Below are 19,706 nucleotides of genomic sequence, written 5' to 3' on the forward strand. Positions count from 1 at the left end.
ATACCTTCTGAAATATGTACATAACATTTATACAGTTTTAGTATCAGAACTGCTTTTAGCGAAGCTATGACAACACTGTTTCTTAAATAAAGAAATATATCTATTAAATGATTGAGAAAAACGACTAAGAAAAAGAATTTGCCCCAGTGAGTCCACAGGTTTAAACTATTGGAAAAAACCTGTCAAGATCAATAACGTGTAGCTGTGTCACAGTTAAAATTTTGATTTTAACAGAGTTAAAAAAGAAAGGGTCAATAAAGTTACTATAAATGCTAACAGGTAAGAACAGAAATTAAACTCTCTTCACCAATATTGTTTAAAGAATTACGTTTGTGTCCAGAGAATTCTGTTCAAATGGTTCAGTTATAATAAATTAAAATACCTAGTTTAGGTCCACTTATTTTTCATCTTAGAAAAAAGAGATGGACTCAAATATGCCCAGAGCTGTTTTGTTACTGACTGGTAAGCAAAGAAGGCTGAACAATGAGTGTTTACATGGGCAAAAGAGAAAGCAACTGTGAACTAACATGAAATTACATCAGAGTCATTGAGAAGCATGTGTTTTCAAAAACATTTAAACCAATTTTGATATTTAAAAAGCGGGTTCTATAATGAAGGACAATGGTATTCTAGGGTAGTCTGGTTTACACTGGGTAAAGTACAATGCTCTTAGTACAATTTTTTTCTCTTAAAGTCATCTTTTAAAAATATTAATTTTAAGCCCCATTCCTCCACTCTGTTACTCTGGATGTCAGCAGGAAACTAATGGCCATCTCAAAGGGGTGGAGCCAAAGTGTGTAAAATAAGGAGACTTTTTAACAGAAGGACAGGCAGTTTTTGGAAACTAATAAAGTAGGAAAAGCACAAGAGAACTGTTGGCTACAGTAAGATGCTATTAGCAGCACTAGGCCAAAAGAGCCAAAGGAAGTGAGTGAAGTTATCCTAAGCAAAGAAAAACTGGAGCCATTTTTGGGTACCACTTAAAAGGAGCAGCAGTCAAGCAAGGACACAGCCAGTATCAGAACCTCAAGAAAACGAGGACACTGGGGGACAGGGGACCAAAATTCAGACCACTTTTTTCTCTTGCCTTTCAATAGGATATTCTGTTAATTGAATTCATCTGAAAATCAAGGTCATTGCAGAGAAGTCAGCATTCTAGAGCACAGAACAGGGCAAAACAGGACGAAAGATGGATTTGGAGACCAAATGGAGAAGGAAGAACAGAGATACGTGTGCTCCAAATATGACACCCAACTTCTTTACTCAGAGCAGTTACATGTCAGATTATATTTTAGTTTTTCATTTCTCCTATAGGCATACATACTACAAGTCTATAATAGAAAACTAGTGGCTGGGCGCGGTGGCTCACGCCTTTAATCCCAGCACTTTTGGAGGCTGAGGCAGGCGATCACCTGAGGTCAGGAGTTCAAGACCAGCCTGCCCAACATGGTGAAACCCCGTGTCTACTAAAAATACAAAAAATTAACTGGGCATGGTGGTGGGCGCCTGCAATCCCAGCTACTCAGGAGGCTGAGGCAGGAGAATCGCTTGACCCGGGAAGGGGAGGTTACAGTGAGCTGAGATCGCACCACTGCCCTCCAGCCTGGGCGACAAGAGAGAAACTCCATGTCCAAAAAAAAAAAAAAAAAAAAAAAAAAAAAAAGAAGACTAATAATGGAGTTAGAAATGGTGGTAAATGGAAATACTTAAAAACACTTAACAATTCACTTTAATACAGATGGTCTCCAAATTAGATAGTTTCATTTAAGATTTTTTTGCCTTCACGATGGCACAAAAGTGATACACGTCAGTAGAATCCATACTTTGAGTACCAATACAACCATTTTGTTTTTCACTTTCAGTCAGTATTCAATAAATTGCATGAGATATTCAATACTTTATTATAAGATAAGCTTTGGGTTAGATCATTTTGCCTAACTGTAGGCTAATGTAAGTGTTCTGAAAATGTTTCAGGTAGGCTAGGCTAAACTGTAATGTTCAGTAGGTTAGGTGTATTAAATACATTTTTGACTTATATTTTTAACTTACAATGGGATTATCTGGACATAACGCCATCATAAATTTAGGCGCATCTGTATGTGATTGCTTATTGCAGGCTGCGTTGGGAAAAGACAGACTCTAGAGGATAGAGGACGCATTATGGAACTTGATAAGGCTGCTTTGTTAGTAGATACTAACCTTATAATTTCTAAAATTAAATATGTTTATGCATTTCACTTGCTTAAAACAATGGCTGGTTCACAATAAATAATAAGGGTTAGCTTTTATAATAATTATTCACAATTTTCTTAAAATTACCCATCCAAAAAACAGAGGATAAAAATGACTTTGTTCTTTTGTGAATATCAATGAGATTATCTGGCAACTGCTAGGTGAAGGCTGAAATCTATCGTAGATAGACCATCCTTTAAAGCCATGCGAGGCTTCTTAGAAAATTAAGCTATGAATATGTCTCTCTTGATTTCAAGTAAGTAGTTAAGTGTGGCACATTATGCCAACCCCCCAAAATGCCATTTTGTCATAAGGATTATTTTGAACTAAAGGCACTTGAGAACCAGTAGGTAGAGAAAGGACACTGATCTCCCCCTTCCTCCCTTTAACAGGAGAAAAGGAACAATCTATCACCAGAGATGGGAGATAAACCCTGGTGGGAAAGATGCCAATCCCTGTAGCAGCATAAAAGAAATATTGTCACAGGGACTGGGAGTTAAGGCTAAGAAAAATCTGTACAAACACAGCTTGTTAAAATAACTCTTATCTTCATTATCCCCCCACACATTTTAATTATTTTTGCACTATGGCCATCCTTTATTCAACCTACTGTATAATCACTTGGGTTTTCTCACTTCTTTGGCTCCTCATTTTCCGTGATGACTTCCAAATACATGTAAAACAAATATTTATTCTTTTATTCTGTTTAGTTTGTTTTATGTCAACTTAATTCTCAGGCCCAATTGAAGACTAAGAAGGCAGAGATAAAGTTTTGCCTCTTCTATAGTAGGATAAAACAGAATTGCATTGTAATTCTTAATTATTCAATTTAATGAGATCAGTTATCAAATAAATAAAAAACAATTTTTAAACAAAAGTAAGCCATTTATAAGTAATCTACCTTGCCAAATATTAACACACCCATTGCAATAATAAGTTAAGGTAATGGCCTTTAGTATCAGAAATAATCTGGTTTGGATGCCAAGTGCATGATATGCAAGTTATAGTTTAAGATTTGGCTTCTCCAACTCTAAAATTATTACGAGCATCAAAATAAGTAAGGACTACAATTTTCAGTCATTATCATAATATGGCTGATATTCTAAATACGAGAAGCTATTACTATAAAAATTTATTAAGGATATCGATTTAGCTTAAGGAATTTGGACTTATTAATATTAATTGATACCATTTTCGTGTTAAAATATATTTCATTATCATTTGCTATCATTGATTTATAAAACTCACTACTCATCTTTGATATATTGACCTATGAAGTCGCTTATTTGACTTAAAACAATCATTACTAAATCCAATTGATTGAAATACACTAAAACTTTTTCAGTAAATTAAATAACTATGAAATGTTTGGGATATTATCTAAACATATTCAAGATTAGGCAGAAAAACCACATTAGTTAAATTCCAAAAAGTTTTCGCTTCTTACTTAGTGTATTTTTCATTTTAAATAATTGTTCATCACAGAAAAATTAGCTTTTAAAATACTAAACAAAATAAAAAAGAGACTTCCTTATCCTGCATTATTGAAATAATCTGTTACATTTTGCAAATATTCTCAGAGATTTTATTTTAAACATATGCATGTGTACTGCTTATACAAAAAAATTGATGTGAAATATTTTTATTTTGCATGCTTTTTATCATTTATGTCATGATCATCTTAATATGTCAATAATTGTAATTCTGTATTTCTTAAGTTTTTAGTAAGTTTTAATGACCTTCCTCTGAATATGAAAATATTAATATATGGAGTCATTTTATTTTTCTAAATTTATAAGAATAATAATTTTACAATATTTTTTGCATTTGTTGTTAGGTATAAAACTATAGTGAAACATTTGAATACAGATAAGTTTAAGTTTTCATGTGTATATTTAAAGTACAGGCATGCTTTGGAGATATCATGGGTTCAGTTCCAGATCACCGCAATAAAGCACATATTACAATATCATGAGTCTCACACATTTTTGTTTGTTTCTTAGTGCATATAAAAGTTAACTATCCCATAGTCTATTCAGTGTGCAATAGCATCATGTCCATAAAAACAATGTACGTACCTTAATTTAAAGTTGTTTTATTACTAAAAAATGCTAATGATCGTCTGAGTCTTCAGTGAGTTGTAATTTCTTTGCTGCTGGAGCATCTTGCTTTGATGTTGATGGCTGCTGACTGATCAGTGAGTGATTGCTGAAGGTTAGAGTGGTAAGGCAATTTCTTAAAATAAAACAACAATAAGGTTTGACACATTGATTGATTATTCTTTTCCTGAAAATTTCTGTGCGATTTCTGTTTGATGAAATTTTATCCACAGTAGAACTGCTTTAAAAATTAAAGTCAATCCTCTGATACCCTTCCATTGCTTTATCAACTAAATTTATGTAATATTCTAAATCCTTTGTGATTATTTCAGCAATCTTCACAGGGCTAGGCACAGTGACTTATGCCTATAATCCCAGGACTTCGAGAGGCCAAGGTGTGAGGATTGCTTGAGGCCAGGAGTTCAAGACCACCGTGGGCAACATAGCAAGACCTTGATTCTGCAAAAAATTCAAAACAAACAAAAAATAAAAGCAAAATAAAAACATTGGTCACTGTATCTTCACCAGGAGTAGATTTCAGCTTAAGAAATCATTTTATTTGCTCCACCATAAGAATCAACTCCCTATCCATTAAGTTTGATGATGAGATTACAGTGATTCACTCACATCTTTAGGCTCTACTTATAGTTATCTTGCTATTTTTACCATATCTGCACTTACTTCCACCACTGAAGTCTTGAATGTCTCAAAGTCATCTATAAAGTTTGGGATAAGCTTCTTCCAAACTCCTGCCAGTGTTGATATTTTGACTTCCTCCCAGGAATCACAAATGATCGTAATGACATCTAGAATGGTGAATCATTTCCAGTAGGTTTTTAATTTACTTTGCACAGATTCATCAGAAGAATCACTGTCTTGGCAGCTATAGCTTTAAAAAATGTATCTCTTAAATAACAAAATTTGAAAGTTAAAATTATTCCTTGATCCATGGGCTACAGAATGGATGTTGTGTTTAACAGGCATGAAAACAACATTAATGACCTTATACATCTCCTTTAGAGCTCTTGGGTAACTAGATGCATTGTCAATGAGCAGTAATATCTTGAAAGGAATCTTTTTTTTTTTCTTTTTCTGAGCAGTAGGTCTCAGTCTCAACATTGAGCTTAAAATATTCAATAAAACATGCTATAAATAGATGTGCTAACACCCAGGCCTTGTTATAACATTGATGGAGCACAGATTAGATATAGTATATTTATTAAAGGCCTTAGGATTTTCAGAATGGTAAATGAACATTGGTTTCAACTTAAAATCACCAGCTGCATTAACCCCTAACAAGCAAGTCAATCTGTTCTTAGAAGCTTTGAAGTCAGGCACTGGCTTCTATTCTCTACTTGTGAAAGTTATAAATGGCATCTTCTTCCAATAGAGGACTGTTTCATCTACATTTAAATGCTGTTGCTTAGTGCAGCTGCCTTCATTAGTGATCTTAGGTAGATGTTCTGGATAACATGCTATAGCTTCTCCATCAGCCCTTGTTGCTTCACCTTGCACTTCTATGTTCTGAAGATGACCTATTTTCTTAAGCCTTATGAACCAACCTCCACTAGCTTCAGACTTTTTTTCTGCAGCTCCTTCATGTCTTTCAATCTTCACAGAATTGAAGAGAGTTAGGGCCTTGGTCTGGATTAGGCTTTGGTTTAAGAGAATGCTGTGGCAGATTTGGTCTTAATCAAGACCACTTAAACTTTCTCTATATCAGCAATAAGGCTGTTTTGCTCCCTTATAATTTACATGTCCACCGGAGTAGCACTTTTCATCTCCTTCAAGAACTTTTTGTCTGCATTTACAACTTGACTGGCACAAGACGTGTAGCTTTCAGCCTCTCGTGGCTTTCAGCATGCCTTCCTCACTAAGCTTCATCATTTCTAGCTTCTGATTCAAAGTTAGAAATGTGTGCCACCTCCTTTCATTTGAATACTTAGAGATCATTGTAGGATTCTTAATTGGCCTAATGTCAATGTCTCAGGAACTAGGGAGCCTGGAGGAGAGGGAGAGGTGGGGAAAACAGCTGGTCAGTAAATTAGTCAGAACAGACACGTTTATCAATTGTGTTTGCCTTCCTATATGAGCATGGTTTGTGGAATCCCAAAACAATTACAATGGAAACATCAAAGATTATTGATCACATATCACTGTAACAGATATAGTAATGATGAAAGCTTGAAATATTGTCAAAATCCCCAAAATGTGACACAGACATTAAATGAGCACATGCTGTTGGAAAAATGGTGCCAGCCGACTAGGTCAATGCAGGGTTGCCACAAATCTTCGATTTGTTAAAAAAAAAAAAAAAAAAAATCATTATCTGCAGAGCACAACAAAGTGAAGCACAATAAAATGAAATATAGGCTACACAAACAGACAACAGCTGTTAGTGTTTTAAGGTCTAAGACATTTATGAGAATAATGAACATTGTGGTAAAATAGTACTTTGCCTCTTTACTTAATGGAATATTTTAACCAAAATTCCATATTTCTATAACATCTTAATATTTCAATAATGTGTTATTTAATACATGACACAATATACAGATTTTGGAATGTTCTCTTTTAAAAAGTCATATTGGTATTGATTTACAATTAAAGTGAGAGGTCTGCATTAAAATTATGGTGGAAAAATAGTATAAATGATTTTCTACATAACATGAAGTCACTCAATGTAAAACTTTATTCTTAAGTGACACTCAAGGTATGATGATATATTCATCATATGCTAAGTTTGTCATAATACCCCTGAATAATTTTAAATTCATTTGGAAATTTTAAAATAGTACAACAGAATGAAAGAAGCAGCCTTCAAAGCCATTTAACCTACTTTCTGCATCGTATTCTAAGTGAAGAAATGGAACCCCAGAGAAAATAAGATATTTACTTATGACCATACACTATTTATTTCTATAAGAAGCCTAAAATATTATTCTCCTGGATCATCCTTTCTTCCAAAATGATTAGTGATAGGTATTCTTTTTTATATAGAAAGTCTTCAGTTGATATATTCTAATTTTATACATAGTTCAAGTTACAAGACTCAGAAGAGATGGAAGAAAGGAAGACTTTAAAAATAAAATACGGGGTGGGCACAGTGTCTCACGCCTGTAATTCCAGCACTTTGGGAGGCCAAGGCGGGTGGATCACGAGGTCAGGAGATCAAGACCGTCCTGGCTAACCAGGTGAAACACCGTCTCTATTAAAAATACAAAAAAATTAGCCAGGCGTGGTGGCGGTCGCCTGTAGTCCCAGCTACTCGGGAGGCTGAGGCAGGAGAATGGCGTGAACCCAGGAGGCAGAGCTTTCAGTGAGCCCAGATCGTGCCACTGCACTCCAGCCTGGGCGACAGAGCAAGACTCTGCCTAAAAAAAAAAAATAAAAAATAAAAATAAAAATAAAATAAAATATAAGATTTTGTTCATTAATATTGTAAGACAAAAGCAGAGGGATCAAAATTTGAAGATTTATATTATTTAAATTTACTTTCAGACAATGCCACTAAGAATCATTACTTATTAAAGCCTGAAAGGCCTTGCCAAGTTAAAAGCTTCCATTTTTTCATTTACTTTTTTTTTTTTTTTTTTTTTTGGTCTGAGACGGAGTCTCACTCTGTCACCAGGCTGGAGTGCAGTGGTGTGATCTCAGCTCACTGCAACCTCTGCTCCCGGGTTCAAGTGATTCTCCTGCCTTAGCATCCCGAGTAGCTGGGACTACAGGCGCATGCTACCTAGTTGCAAAATTGGAACTAAAATTCACATACATATAATCCAATTTACTATTCTGTAAATCCTTCTTCATAGTACAACAGTTAATTTAGAAAATCAAATTAAGAAAAACAATACGTATAATATTTTTCTGGAAGCACCTATAAATGTGCAGAGGTGTTACTAATATTATTTTAATAATACATAGATAATACATTTGATCTAGTGAAAACTTTATTGTTCTGAAATATTCTAAGAAACTTTATAATTCTTCTTCATCAAATTCAGCAGATGTATATTATACATTATTTACTATACATCCCCATTCCAACCTTTTTGGAAACTTGTTTTTAATCTGAGAAGACAGTTATTGAGATTAGTTATTTTAATGGCTTTTCCTAAACATCTAGTTTTAGTGATTATTTGACCAAGTCTTAAAACAAGATAAACAATCCCTATTTTGATGCTTTTGAAATTCCTGTTCTTACACTTCTTCATCATTCCTACCAGTCTAGTAACTTTCTCTTCTATCCCCATTCTGGCCCTGAAAGCCTCATCTCATCAGAAGTGCTAAGTGATACATCGGTCAGTGTGGAGGTGTAATTGCTTTGTCTTCCATAAACTACTTTGCTAAAATCTATTCAAGGTCAAGGCTGTCACTTTCATCTCTCCGTGCAGTTTGGCTCTAAAATGAAAGTGTTTTGTTTAAATTATATTTGAAGGTTTAGGTGTTCAAAAACTAAAGGGAATCACTTCTCAAGTTTAATCTATGAGACACACCAAAAAAGTAACACAAACATAATTGCCTGAGCAGCAGTCAAATTTAAGCCTGCAGAATAAAAGCCCTGTGTATTATTTGCATAACTATAACTTAATTTTATTAGAACCATGAACTTTAATACTGTGTCCTTGATTATTCATTCATAATCTATAAGCTGAGGAACATAATTATGGATATGGAGCTGTTAGTGTATTGCAAATTACTACAAATTTGTAGTAATCTCATCACTGTTTTATTTTAAAACTTTTCCTTGAACTACTACTGGCCACAAATCATTGATTTCTTTAACTGGGAAAATGGAAACATCACTATTATAAGACAATGTCAAATAAAAATAATAATTCATCTTTTTGGAAACAACCTATCTTAAAATTTAGTAAAGTGAATTTTTTATCCCACTATGTTTGATGAATTTTAGATTTCATTGGGATACTTGTGCAATTGTGTTATAATAGTATAAAATAGGGAAAAGATGATGTTTTCACGTTTCCTACACAATTCATTTTTAGTTCTTTGTTTTTCATGCATTTCTAACTTGCTGTTATAAGATGAAATGAACACACCATCTAGAAATGCAAGCTGACTTTGCAGCAGGTTCTTTATAGGGACAGAACTTTGGAAGAGTCACCGAATTCCATGGTCTGTCTTCGTTTTGGTCAGGAGAAAATTTACTATATCAAAAAATTCAGTGAAATTAGGCTCTGAGAAGAAGAAATGTATCATTTATCATCAATTCATTCTGTAATTTTTTTGAACTTTTATTTTGCATTGAACATGTAGTATGATAAGCAACATGGATGACCCATGAAAAGGTTTTCATTGAGAAAAAACACCTGACTTAGAAGGAGAGGTGAGGGAAGAGGGTATTTAAGAGAGGATTTTTAATAGAGTAATCCCACCAGACATAGAAGGTGTTGGTACAATTAAAATGCTGGGGTAGCAGGGTTGGGGGTAAGAGTAGAGAATCATAGATACATAGATTTTGGATATAGCATATGTATTTTTTTAATTTCTATTTTGAAAAACTATTTTCATACTGTGATATAACAACTCCATGACTGATACTTTATTTTTTCTGTAGTTAATTTTCTAAATGTTGATAGTTTTATGACATTTCTCGTAGTTACAATTTTGTCCTCTCTGGAAACCTCAGGAATAATACGGCTTTCCTTGATCCTTAAATATGATTTTTATTTGCAAGATACATGTCTTCAAACACAAAGAGGAATTGGATATGCAAAGAAAAAGGAGAGGACAGCAAAAATATATAAAGAGAGCAGTACACATTTAGTTTGCCTAGAGTAAATCATAAAAGGTAAGCAGTCGTGAAAATAAATATATATTTATCTATGCACTTATTGATTGAATATTCAGTATTATTCTATAGATAGAAATAAGTAAATTATATGATATATAGTAGGTCACACTCAAAAGTTTAGAGCCTATTCAGGAAGTGATGAGAAACAATTTAAATGAAATGATAAAACGGTACTTAGGCTTTTGAAGATTGCTGTGATATAGTATGATGGATGGAAGATTGAGAAAGAAAGGAATGACAAGAAGCCATTGGAGAAATCTAGATAATTAACAATGAGAGCTTAAAGAAAGACAGTGGCCAAAGGCATGGTAAAAAGACAATTGTTCCAAGATATTATTTGGGAAAGTAAAATTGACAGATTTTTTAACCAATTAAGTAAGAAATTTTATTTTAAAGAATGAGAGATACCAAAGAACTGATGCTAGGATTTTAGCTTTGGTCTCTGGGTGTTTGGTGCAATTTATCAAAGTAAGAAATATAAGGGGTAAGGGTTTTATGGAAAAAAAATAATGTATTCCATTTAAACATGCAGAGTTTTAAAAAGCTTTGCAATAGCCAAGTGAAGATATCTAATTAACAAGTAGGATTGAGTCTAGGGAGGGAAATTCTTAGCAATTACAGCAAGACTCATAGCACCAAATGTTTCAGAGAGGCCAAGTGTGATAACCTGAAAAGTACTTATTTAATTTTGCCAGGCGTGGTGGCTCACACCTGTAATCCCATCACTTTGGGAGGCCGAGGGTTGGGGGGTGGATCACTTGAGTTCAGGAGTTCGAGACCATCCTGGTCAACATGGTGAAACCCCCATCTCTACTAAAACTACCCAAAATTTTCAGGCATGATGGTGTGCACCTGTAGCCCCAGCTACTTGGGAGGCCAAGACACGAGAATCACTTGAACCCGGGAGGTGAAGCTTGCAGTGAGCCCAGATAGTGCCACTGCACTCCAGCCTGAGTGACCAAGCTAGACTCTGTCAAAAAAAAGAAAAGAAAAAGAAAGAAGGAAGGAAGGAAGGAAAGAAAGAAGGAAGGCAGGAAGGCAGGAAGGAAGGAAGGGAGGGAGGGAGAGGGAGGGAGGGAAAGAGAGAAAGAGAAAGAAAGAAGGAGAAAGAAAGAAAGAAAGGAAAGAAAAAAGAAAGAAAGAAAGAAAAAGAAAGAAAAGAAAGAATGAAAGAAACTTATTTAATTTTTATACAGGGAGTGGTGATGAATTTAGAAAAATCAGTTTTAATGAAGTGATTAGATAAAAGTCAGACTGCAGGACTTTAAAAGTCGATGGGACATAAAATATAGAGAAAGTCACTGCATTCTATTATTTTAAGAATGTTGTCTGAGAAGAAAATGAGAGATATAAAACAGATAGAGGACAACGTAAATTCAGTTAACACTTTCAAAGGATGGCATAAATTAAGCATTTTTAAATGCTGTGAGAATGCTAGGGAGAAAAAAGAGATGTTGAATATATTGTTTAAAAAAGAGAAGCTGACAAAATAAAGCCACTAAGGGTTCAAGATGTCATGGAATTCCTTTTTTAAAATTCATACATTAGCCTTGAACACATGGCATCATTCTGTGTTTAATGAGTCTGAGGAGAGAAGATAAGTTTAGACACCAGTTTGCCAGAAAAGGGGGAAGTACTTTCAGGGAAAGTGGGAAATTAACAGAGCTTTTACTTGATGACCTGTATTTTCTCTATAAATTAAGAGGGGATTGTTTTCTAAAAAGGATAGAAAATTAGCATGGAGGGTACCTTTAAAAAAGTGGTGAAGTTTCTAAATAATGGCTGTGCAAATGAAAAAGAGGGCTTAGTAGGAACTTACCATGTTTCCTGAAAAAGATTTTCTCATTCATTCCTTGAATAATTATTATCTATTTCTATCAGGTATTATTGTAAACTCTGGGGAAAGAATAAAGAGCAAGATGGATATAGTCAATGTTTTTATAGGAAGGTGAGAAGATAAGTAATCTTTAAAATATATAGAGTTCTCTGATTTGCTGTACAAGGTCATCATAAAGGACTCTCCTAGGGAAGTGATATTTGCTAGATATGAGGGACTTGAGTAAGATGTGAAGTTGGGGAGTGGAGAGATGGGGAAGAGGAAGGAGTCTTTCACGGATAGGAAATAGCAAATGCAAAGTTCCTGAGTGGAACAGAAAGAAAAAAAAAAAGCTTAGCCTGCTCAAAAACCCTGAAAGAGCACCAATAAGGGTAGAATGCCGATTGTCACAAAAATGATATGAAAATATGTGGTAGTTGAATTAGAACCTGCAGAACTTTAAATAATTTATTTTAAGAATTTGAGTTTTTATCCTAGGAGTGATTAAGGAAGAGGGAAAGAGAGAGAGGAGAGGTCCTAATTGGTTTTTTAATAAAATAGAAACATAGAATTCTGGCTGCAGGGGAGCAAATGTGTAAGAAATATACCAGAGGGGATGGTGGGAGAAAGTTTAGGGAGCTACTGAAATAATTCTAGTGAATGCTGATAAGGGTTTAGACTACAATGTCAGAATTATAGACAGAAAGGTACAATGATTAATATTAGCATGCAAAATTCACAGTTTTTGTGATTGTTTGACTATATGGATGAAAGAATGAGAAGATATCACAAGCTTCCAGCCAACCAAACTTAATGGTGGGTGTTGCCATTCAGTGAGATAGGAAACACTGGTGACAGAATTATGAATTTGTTTTGAACATGTTGAGTTCGTTGGGTATTTGATATCTCCAAGTGAAAATTTAATATTGAGTGAAGAGTTGGATATACAGATCTGGAACTCAGATCAAATAGTAGTACATATAATTGATCCAAGGCAAGCTTGGGTTCATGCCAGAAGAATATACAAAGAGCAGATAACATAGTCCTTAACTGAGGTTAGAAACCACGAACTTGTAGCAGTGCAAATTTACAATGTTTAAATTATTTTTACAGTTCCCAGTAGTCCATATTTTAAATGGATATGAGTGCTTTGATTGAGAAGATATAGGATTATGATTAGGCAAGTACAATGAAAGGAAGAAACCAAGGCTTCTAGAGAGTGATGGTCTTTCATCTGTAAAGGGGGATGATGGGCTGGCCAAACACAGATTAATTTAAAAAGATGAGCAGAACATGAAAGGAAATAAGTGCACAGTAAACCAAGAATTTGTTGCCAGATAAAGGAATACTAGAATTAAAAATTCTGCAGTAGGAAACTAGGTGATCCAGAAAGTGGCCAGATGAGTGGTTAGCCAAATTGCTGTGAAATTAAGAAAGGTTTTTAAATGATCAAATCATAGCTAAAATTTAATATTAAAGAGAAAAATATACAAATCTGGAGCTATGAATTTGGAAGTCATTGCTGTATAATTATAGATGTATAGATGTCTCTTTCATTTGGATACTGGAATTTCCCAGGGTCATTATGGGACTTGGTATGGAGGATAAAATTATGAACCTGATAGCAAAATTGGTCAAGAAAATTGGAAGATTCACCAGTGGATGGGAACAGATGAGTGGATGACAGCATGAGCCACCAAGGAGAGGATGAATATAAAATACTGATGGAGCTTAGGTTACTGATTCAATCCAGGGCACTTCCTTCATGATGTCAAAGTAGCTGGGATTATTAATCACTAATTATAGGAACACAGATTCAAAGTAAGAAGATATATAAATAGATAGGGTGTATTTTATCAAGCCTGCATTTGCCTGGTGAGCTGTCTATACCCTTCCAGATCTTGTACAGTGCAAATGAGGAATCCTTTGAATCCACGGGATCGATGTTGCTCTTTGTTACAGTTCTGAATTAACATGCAAGGTTATTATTCTTTTGAGTTCCCCTTTCATTTATGCCATTTTGACAGTGCCATATATGTTAATATAGTATATTCCCTGAGTAGACAGATGTCCAATTTTATTCTTTCTTAATTACAATCACAATTCTATTGTGCCACCCTAGGGTGATATAAAAGTCACCTGGATTCAAGTCCAGTTGTGAAAGGCCTCATTCACCAACTTAGAGATTATCCTTCAGAACTGTGTAATTTTTAGTTTCTCTTCAAGTCTGCACATCAGGCTTACCTGGGAAACTTTCTAAAATTAAATTCCCTAAGTTTAATATTTATGCTACCTCTAGAGATTCTGATACATAGGTCTAAGTTTGACTCATAGAATCTATGATATTTATAGCTCTTTGGAACAGAAAGTTTTGAAAACTATTGGTTCAAAATCGGTTCATAAAAGGTATAATTTTAAATTGTGTTTCAGTGGTTTTTAATTTTATCACAGAGTTCAGGTGTCCATGAAATTTTATGGATACCTCGTTCTGACCCCTATCTATAACCTATAACTGGTCCTCTAGTTAGGATTTGTGATGGAATTTATCACTTTGTAAAATTATTCAGTGTGAGAAAACTGAAAAGTTATTTGAAAACAATAGGCTTAAAGCAATGCTATGTATTATTTTCTGTTTATCACTCCTCTCCATCTTAACCCATTGTGGAAAGGAAATTCCCCTTCCTCTTCAAGGAGGGAGGAGGTTGTTCATGTTTAGTGAACAACTATAGAAAACAGAGATAGTATCCTCCTCCTTAACAGAGACCAGGTTGACTGCTCAGTTTAATAAAGATGATGCTTTACTCTAGAGAAAATGGCAAATGAGTGCCACGTTTTCTTGCTGTCCATTATAAATACTAGGATTTCTAACTCCCAGGGTTCTTAAGCTGTGAAGAAAACTGACTACGTGTACCTGCAACCACCTGGCCCATTCCCCATTTTCCCCATGGGACTTGGGCCATAAGGGGAACCAATTCAAACTGATGCTCCTGCTAGTTGCAATAGAGTAATAAATCCTTTTTTCTCTAATCCAATAACCCCATGTCTTCTGCCAGCATCTATGAAACTGTGGAAGATCAGCTTAACTTGCAAGCAGGGTAAAATCTGACTATTCAAAGTTCTTGACACGTCTATAAATAAAAATTAAGAAAACCTACCTCATAGAATTGCTGTGACTACAATAATATTGCTGTGAGCGTAATTAATAAATGTAAAGTGTTTAGAATAATGCCTATTATATATGGAATAATCTCAAAAAACTTATCTATTAGTATTACCAGTATTCATAACTGAGAAATATATCCACTGTCTGCATCACTCACAGATACAGATCCATGGCATAGACAATAGTCACAGTAAAACTTCATACCTTTAAGAATTCATCCCTACATTAAAGTCTTTGTCACACTAAGTTAGAGGCAAACTCAAATGACTCCTGGGATCAGGTAAGTGAGTGGAAACTGTGCCAAAGTGGAGAGCAAAGATTACTTCAGAAGGGGGTGGCCCAAAGCATTTTCTGCTGATTATTACTATGTAGAAAAAATTGCGGACCCAGTGTTGCCAAATTACCAGATTTTAAAAAGGAATTCGTAATATCACAATAGGACTTTTTTAAAGGTTAAATATACTTTCATAGGTACTTGGAGCCAATGGCTCCAAATAAAGTCTGGGCCACATGCAGACCATGGATCCTTTGCTCTATTAAGAAAGATAAGGAGTATTGATATTCTTTTATAACTCTACCACTGAGAAAGGAAGATAGTGGTTGCTGCATGAGGGATTGATGGAGGAGAATGATCTTGTTAAAAACAAAACAAAACAAAAAACGAAGAGTTTCCTTATACCTTTATTTTTTAATGCCAAAGTAAATAACATTCCAGTTACAATAGCATAAGAGTTACACATTGTTATCTTTGAGGTACTTGTGTTTAGTCACCGCAAACACTAAAATCTGAGATTAATGGCATCATTGGAAGGGATTTGGTGCAATCTAATGTTAAAACCCTGAACTATCACAGGATAGTAGCTCATGTCAGGTTCAACACATGTCACTATGTCTTTGTCAAAATTTTAAAAGATCCTGTCATTTTTGTGAGGTTACTGTGATGCCGTGGGGTGCCTCAGCTCACAGTGAGGGCGCCAAACTCTGACACCATGCTGTATTCCTGTGTGCACAGAACATAGCATGACAGGATGAATATTACGCCTCATCAAGAATTAAATATTTAACATTTCCCGGGCTTTTAGTCTTTACATTAATTTTGTCCTATTCATAGGTTGGATCTAGTCCAATGCTTAGCAAAATGATAATAAATATAGAAGAAAAATTATCCCTGCTGCTGGCTATTTCTGCAAAGCCACTTAACTTTTCTTCCTGATTCCATTTTTATTTCTTCTCTCCTACTCTCCATAGCAGCATGTGGAATGCATAAAATGCAAATCCAAGCAAAACCTATCAATGTCTTGTGACCACCTTTGGACTGAAGTTCAGTGGTAACTTCCTACCTGGGCATTCTGTGCCACACAGGAATTGCCCTTTACTGACCATGCTATATACACCAGCTTTCCTGGCTCTTGATCTACAGAAGGCCTTTCAGTTTCTCCCTAAAGCCCCTCTCATATCTGGGCCACATGCTTTACCATGCTGGAACGTTCTTTTCCCTCTCTCTTGTTAATTCCCAGAAAAAGCAAGAGTCATGTCTTGCTCCATTTATTGTTACTGCTTTTCCCAGCACCACACTCAGAAGAGCACCTGCTGTACTTGTAGATATAAGACTCTGGAGGCAGTTATAAGTGGTTTTCTACTTGTGGCTCTGCTTTTAATACATTATGAATAATGCTTAGTTCAGTACCTAATGTTAAGTTCAGTAAAAAATCATGTAATCTCCAGGAATTATTTTATTTATTTTGTTTTTTAAATAATTTTGTGGCCGGGCGTGGTGGCTCATGCCTGTAATCCCAACATCTTGGGAGGCCTCGGCAGGTGGATCACTAAGGTTAGGAGTTTGAGACCAGCCTGGCCAAAATGGTGAAACCCCATTCCTATTAAAAATACAAAAGTTAGCAGAGAGTGGTGACAGGCGCCTGTAATCTCAGCTACTCAGGAGGCTGAGGCAGGAGAATTGCTGGAACCCAGGAGGCAGAGATTGCCGTGAGCCGAGATCACACCATTCCACTTTAGCCTGAGCAACAACAGCGAGACTCCGTCTCATATAAAAAAAAAAAAAAAGTGAGCATATAATAGGTGTATATATTTATGTGGTGTATGAGATATTTTGATACAGGCATGCAATGTGAAATAAGCATATCATGGGGAATGGGGTATCCATTCCCTCAAGCATTTATCTTTTAAGTTACAAACTATTCAATTATACACTTTATTTTAAACTGTACAGTTACTATTGACTATAGTCACACTATTGTGCTGTCAAATAGTAGGTCTTTGTGCTGTCAAATGGTAGGTCTTATTCTTTCTAACAATTTTTTGTACCCATTAACTACCCTCACCTCCCCCGCAACCCCCCGACAGGACCCTTCCCAGCCTCTGGTAGCCATCCTTCTACTCTCTATCTCCATGAGTTCAATTGTTTTGATTTTTAGATTCAACAAATAAGTGAGAACATGCAGTGTTTATCTTTCGTGCCTGGCTTATTTCACTGAACATAATGATCTCCAGTTCCATCCATGTTGTTGCAAATGACTGGATCTCATTAGTTTTTATGGCTGAATGGTACTCCATTGTGTATATGTACCACATTTTTTAATCCATTCATCTGTTGATGGACATTGAGGTTGCTTCCAAATCTTAGCTATTGTAAACAGTGCTACAACAAACAAAGGACCAGGAATTATTTTACTACCCAATTTTTGCTAATTTTTATAAGCAGTATTTTTTGGAAAATGACCACATTTTCAAGGAATTAATATGGGATGTTCCTCTCTTGAAATGTAGTCTAGAGCTTTAACAGAAAGGTGTCATCCTTGATGACAGAATAGTCAACATGATGGCAGGATCTGGGCAGAGAGAGTTTAGAAGTACATATGTCTTGGTATTACATGGGCAATCCCTTCTCCACCAACAGATAAGCTGTGTGTGACCTGCTGAATGTGTGGAGCAGCACTCAACCTGTTGAAGGCTTTGATTTCTCTCTGTGCTAGAGGGTAATAAATGAAAAGAAGATGAGACTTTGAAACCTCTAAGGCAGGCTTGTCTTTAGTCTGAATTTTCTTTTTTCTATTAGGAATAAGCTGCCACATGTAACAAGTGAGGACTCCCTAGAGCTTCAGATACCCTTGCCTGGGAACTACTTTGACCTCCTTAGAGACATGAGTAGGGTGTTTTGAGGACCATTCTGCTCCACAAATTCCTTTTGTGGCATCTTTCTAGAGCACTGGGTCTTACTAATTTAAGTATATTGGCTGGGCGTGGTGGCTCACACCTGTAATTCCTGCACTTTGGGAGGCTGAGGTGGGCAGATCACCTGAGGTCAGGAGTTCGAGACAAGCCTGGCCAACATGGTGAAACCCCATCTCTACTTAAAATACAAAAATTAGCTAGGCATGGTGACGGATACCTGTAATCCCAGCTACTCGGGAGGCTGAGGCAAGAGAATTGCTTGAACCCGGAGATGGAAGTTGCAGTGGGCCGAGATCACGCCATTGCACTCCAGCCTGGGTGACAGAGTGAGACTCCATCTCAAAAAATAAAAAATAAAAATTAATTAATTAATTAACAAACCTATTGACTATTGACTTTTCTCCCACCCCCACCCCCTCACCATTATCTCTCTACCACAATCTCCATTCTCCCGAAATTCTTATGTCCTGGTAACTGCCCAGGAACAGGATGGTCTTTACTATATTCCAGATTTCAGCAATTTAATCACGTTTATGTAAAGTATGCCTCTATTCAAAGCAGATTTGATAAGGCTTATTAAAATACATATAGTAAAAATGATTATAACAATAATGGTGATTAAAAAAACAGCAGCCAGTGAAGATGTACTTGGACAGAGAAAAGAAGGAAAGAAGAAACAATATGACACTGGGGAAAATGTTAATAGGTTGCTTTTAGCACATTCTAATAATCTGTGCACTGATTGTCATGAAACATATAAACTGAACTTTCCAGCAGCCAAGGTAAATAAATAAATATAGAATTTCACGTGGGGATGGAGGAGCTTGCCAGGTTGTTCTATTGCAATAGCCTGTGAGGTACTAGGTTTACCTCTTTTTGCCTAATTCACAGTAATCTTTTGCTAAGCAAATGCCATTTAAAAGACATGAGGACTTTCTTGAAAGGGCAAATAAAAGAGGATTTGGCAGATATTAAAGTGCTGTGGCTGGTGATTGGACCTCTCCAGCTTACACACCCTAAAGAGTGCAATACTATCAAGACCAAGGAAATGTTTACATTACTATGGAGTTTCTGGCTTCTCTACGACTTTCAGTTTTAATGTCCTGTTCAGTAAGTGTGGAAAAAAATAATGAAAGGCCATGGCATTTTTATAACAAACCATAAAGATGGTATTTTTATCTTAAATTTCAGATGAGCAATGTCTTGTTCTTCGTTTTATTGAACATTTGCAAATTAATCTCAAACAGATCAAAATACAGCTAAGAGGAAAATTTTTTAAGTATAGCTTAGAATTTGAAAGCAAATTTTCCTAACATGGCTAACCAGTTCATAATTTGGGAGTTCTAGATTCATGATGTCATGAAATTCCAGCTAACCACAGCATTCTCA

At 35.5% G+C, this 19,706-nt stretch overlaps 1 protein-coding gene across 17 annotated transcripts in view; it reads left to right on the forward strand.

Annotated features, from left to right (window-relative positions):
• Positions 1-19,706, forward strand: part of CADM2 (cell adhesion molecule 2) — a 1,115,441-nt gene that overhangs the window by 1,029,393 nt on the left and 66,342 nt on the right. Inside the window, exon 9 of one of the 17 annotated variants that reach the window (XM_047447872.1) lies at positions 4,664-6,633. The exons of the other annotated variants lie outside the window; for them this stretch is intronic. Within the exon in view, the coding sequence (XP_047303828.1) occupies positions 4,664-4,743 (80 nt within the window). The 3' untranslated portion in view covers positions 4,744-6,633. Of the gene's footprint in view, positions 1-4,663; positions 6,634-19,706 lie in introns of those variants that run through there. 17 annotated transcript variants of the gene reach the window in all.

The sequence above is a fragment of the Homo sapiens genome, chromosome 3, assembly GCF_000001405.40.
Source record: "Homo sapiens chromosome 3, GRCh38.p14 Primary Assembly".
NCBI classification, from domain to species: domain Eukaryota; kingdom Metazoa; phylum Chordata; class Mammalia; order Primates; family Hominidae; genus Homo; species Homo sapiens.